This window comes from Homo sapiens, chromosome 1, assembly GCF_000001405.40.
Source record: "Homo sapiens chromosome 1, GRCh38.p14 Primary Assembly".
NCBI classification, from domain to species: domain Eukaryota; kingdom Metazoa; phylum Chordata; class Mammalia; order Primates; family Hominidae; genus Homo; species Homo sapiens.
Window position 1 is genome coordinate 242,840,257 of NC_000001.11, and position 4,864 is coordinate 242,845,120.

The following is a 4,864-nucleotide window of genomic DNA, read 5'->3' on the forward strand; positions in this document are numbered from 1 at the left end:
GAGATCAGAAGCCTTCATGTGACAAAATGCCTGGCTTTAAACATTGCCTCTCCTATCTGCACCAGCCACACTGACTTCTTTTCTTTTCTCCAAGAAAAGGAAGCCATGCTCCCTTCTGCAAGGGGCTTTTTTAATGCAGTATGCAGTCTGCCTAATAGGCTCTGGCACCATCTACCTCTTCAACTGGCTTTAATCCTCCTCTTTCAATCATCACTTCCTGGAGGAAGCTTTCCCTGAGAACAGTTCCTCCAGTATAGGTTCACATAGCCCATGCACCTCTCCTTAGCATTTATCTCTGTTGTAACTTTACCTTCTGTTTAAAAAAATTGTGTAATTCTTTAATGCGTGCCTTTCCTCCCCGCACTGTCATTCTACTTCCATGCTAAGTTCTATGGGGCCTTTGTTTTTGTTCACCTCAGCTCCTGACAGTGTTGGAGCTCAATATTTGACTAATCAAATAGAAGCAGCTGAAACATTTTTAAGCAGAGTAGGGATCTGAGGCAGGTAGGATGCAATCAGATTTATTCGGGCCACAGTGGATTGGAGGGTTAAGACTGAGTAAGAAGGAATGAAGGGAGACCGATCAGGATGTTATTACAATCCTACAATGAGAGATGATGATAGCTTGTTTGGGAGATGGTAGTGGCAGTCAGGAGAAGTGTACAGATTTGATAGCTATTTAGGATCAAAACATGACAGCACTTGTTCATGGCTTGGCTATGAGAGAATGTCAGAGAGGGAGGAATCAAGGATGATGTTTTTTAGGATCCTGAGCAATTTGATGGAAGGGGTGTCAAACTTTAAGTCAAAAGACCTTGAAATAGGTCCAGCCTAAAGATAGGTTTCTTTGGGAAGGGGACCTAGAGAAGGTTCTGGGGTTTTTCTGTGGACTTACTGGAGTATTTCTAGAGTCATGTTTAGTATTTTTGCAAGAGTTCATTATTGAGTCCCAGCATAAGGGCACTCAAAATTTATTGCAAGGTCACTATCTGATTGTTTTAAACACCTGATGATTTGCAAAACTGCTAAGAGTCTTAGCAAACAATGCAAATAAGCCTTCAGCTCAGGGTGCCAGCATTTATTGCCTTAACTACTTTTACATGGAAATTGTATTAATCTTGCACCAACTTACTTGAACGGCTTGCTGTTGTCGAGAGCTGTATTCCCAACTCATTCTCCAACTTAAGACTGGGATATTAGATGATTAAGAAGTTTCTGATCCTTCTGTTCTCTTGATGTTTTGATAATAATAATAATATCTGCTTCTAAAAAGAATAAGCTAAGGTGAGCTTGTTTGTAGAATGAGCCCATTGTGATCTGACTCATTTCCTTTCTAATAAGCCCAAAGAGCTTCCCACTTACTCACTTAGTTTTCCACTGGTTCTCTCAGCTCATCATTTTAGAGACCAAAAAAATAAAAGGTACATAATGTTTTGTTGGTTCAAGGAAAATTTTGTGAGACATGTACCCTATACTCCCACAAGAATTTGGAAATAAGATGGCTGATTTAGAGTAAAGCTAATAAAAAAAAGACACCCCTGATGAATGAGATTATCTGCTGGTAAAAATAATCGCAGAGATGAGCTGTCAGCATGCAATTGATGAAGCCTGGAATTAATCTCAAGAATGAAATGAGGGACTGTATTAGTTTCCTAGAGTTGTCATAAGTGTCGTAAACTGGGTAACTTAAACAACGGAAATTTATACTCTCAGAGTTGTGTGTAGTCTGACATCAAGGTGTCAGCAGGATTGGTTCCTTCTGAGGTCTGCCAAGTTTGTTCCATGCCCCCTCCTAGCTTGTGAAGTTTACGGGCAATTCTCGGCTTTCCTTGATGTGGAGATTGGATCACCCCAATCTCTGCCTTCATCTTCACAAAGTGTTCCCCTGCATGCATATTTGTCTCTGTGTCCAAATTCCCCCTTTTTTATAAGGGCATGGTTGTACTGCATTAAGATTATTATCTTAACTTGATCATCATCAAAGACCCTATTCCCAAATAAGGTCACATTCACAGGCACTAGGGGTCAGGCTTTAACATGTTTTGGGAGGACACTATTCAGCCCCTAAGAGGGTTGTAAAGTTTAGTAAGCCAAATGGTAATTCATTGTATCCAGAGTGCCTTATCTGAAGAAAACCTTTGTGAACACAGCAAGATTCAGCCTAGAGAATCAAGGAAAGGTCAGCCAGACAAAAAACGTTTGGCAGCAGTGAGGGAGGGGCTTGGGTCAGTGGACTACATGGAGGATTTTCTAACTTTGTAAATAGTGGAACCATTTTTTTTCTAATGAAATCTTGAACAAAACCCCAATAAATAAAACCAGTATAGGTAGAGCTGTTCTAGTGGCACCTTGGGTGGAAGGCCCAGAATTCCATCCACTGAACATCCTCTCACCCATCGAGAGTACTCTGTCCCATTGACAAGTGTATTTAATTAGCAGTGGACTCACAGATAAAGCTCTCAGAATATGTCACTGGCCCAGCCAACTCCTCTTTTTCTGAGTATATGTTCACTAAGAAATCTTTTGATTATAACATGTTTAACACAGTCAATGTCCTTGCAGGAAGAGATTGTCCTGAGAAGACAATTCATGTGTCTAGTCTCTTCAATAATTACATTTCTGCTTACGAAGTAGTATATTGTTTTGGTTTATATGTCAATTTCACGTGTGTTTATCTATCTTAGTGTCAGTGCCCCAAAGCCCTTTCACCTCTTGGTGCTGTGGTCAGGACTGCAAAGCAGAGAAACAGACTCTGAAGACCTCGTGAGGCCGTAGCAGCCCAGGAGACCTGGCTTTAGTTGCCAGCCAGGCCCCTAACATGACCTCACTGCTCCCCTCCAATTTCCTCCAATTATTAAACTGTATATGATTGAGGCATCCCAATATCTACTCCAGCATTTTTTCATTTCAAACCATTTTTGTTGTTTTAAACCAAGATTTCTCAACCTCAACACTGACATTTTGAGTCAGATACTTCTTTGTTGGGGAAGGAAACAGCCTATACATTGTAGGGTGTTTAGCAACATCCTTGACCCCTACCCACTAGATGACAGGAGCACCACCCAAGTTGTGGCAACCAAAAATATCTCCAGACATTTCCAAATGTCTTCTGAGTGGGTACCACCCCTGACTGAAAATCGCTATTCTGAATGCAGACTCTAGAACCAGGGAAATTATTCCTAACATTGTCTCCAGGGGAGATGGTAGGCTTAAAGGAGAGTTGACCAGTATCTGCCACAGATTACTAATAGCTGGACTTTTCTGCCATGTAACTTCAATCCTGTGAGGTGTTTCATCTCATTTACCAAAGAGGAAATGTTACTGAAATACTGAGGGTTTGGTCTAAGTCCTGCTGCTCACCACACAGAAAGCTAATCACTGAAATGAGTATTGCCAAGGAAGACGGCTTTAATTGGGTGCTGCAGCCAAGGAGATGGGAGCTCGGTCTCAAATCTATCTCCCTGACCAACTAAAAGTAGGGGTTTATATAGCAGGGAAGAAATGTAACAGTGTGTAAGAAAACACCGAGGGGAATGGAGGCATCTGGTGCCCTAATCTGGTGAGTTTGAGTTTCCGTTCTTTGACACTTTTTTTTTTTTTTGAGATGGAGTCTTGCTCTGTCACCCAGGCTGGAGTGCAATGGCACAGTCTTGGCTCACTGCAACCTCTGCCTGTTGGGTTCAAGCAATTCTCCCTGCCTCAACCTCCCCAGTAGCTGAGACTCCAGGCACCCACCACCATGCCTGGCTAATTTTGGTATTTTTAGTAGAGATGGTGTTTCACCTTGTTGGCCAGGCTGGTCTCGAATTCCTGACCTCAGGTGATCTCTGCCCGCCTCAGCCTCCCAAAATGCTGAGATTACAGGTGTGAGCCACCACACCTGGCCCTTTGATACTTTTTTTTGAGAGGCCTGATGATCCTTTTCTGAGAAAGGCACTCAGATAAAACAAATACAAGTTTCAAGCTTTAACAGCAGAAAGATCAATTTCTATGTTTATCAAAAAGAAAAGTCTATGGAACTATTGGGTTGGTTTCATAAATACCCCTCTGGAAAGTGTTACAATATGTGTGAGGGCAGTTTGTTACCAGAATAAGAAACAGAATATTCACCATTCTTCTATCTATGATGGTCAGAGTAGGTTTCCCAAGGAGGTCACATCTAAACTGGATATTGAAGTATAAAGAGAAGTTTCTAGGCAGTCAAAATAGAAAAGAGGATTGCAAGCAAAAAGGACAGCTGGCATAAAATACACGGGCCCAAACTTTAACTACTTATAAAGATAGTTTGATTACTTCTGCTGATTTCAAACAAATCATTCAATTGATCTTTTTTATAATGGAATTTTTAAAAAGTCATTCCTAAGTGGTATGCCATCTAGCCCTGGGTATTTTCTATGTAAAATGGGAGAGAGACAAGTTATTATGAATGAGAAGGCATCACTGATACAGTTACTATAAACACAGACTCATCTTCATAGATGAAAGTTGCCTGGGGGGGTTCTCTAGGCCTTGGAAGGAATTTTTTTTACGTTGGAATGTCCTAACACCATAAAATGTATGTTTTTAAAAATCACAGTATAGCAATTTTTCTTTTTTCTTTTTACATGCCCAAAGCTATACATATTTTACGTTTACAACTCAATGAGTTTGGAAATAAGTATACACCATTGAAACAATCACCAACATCAAGGCCATGGATGTATCCATCCCCTCCAAAAGTTTCCTCCCATTCCATTTCTTTATTTATTGTGAGAATACTTAACATAAGATCTAGCCTCCTAGCAAATTTTAAGTATACAGTACAGTATTGTTAACTACAGGCATTATACTGTCTATTCAATCTTCAGAATTTGTCTTTCATAAC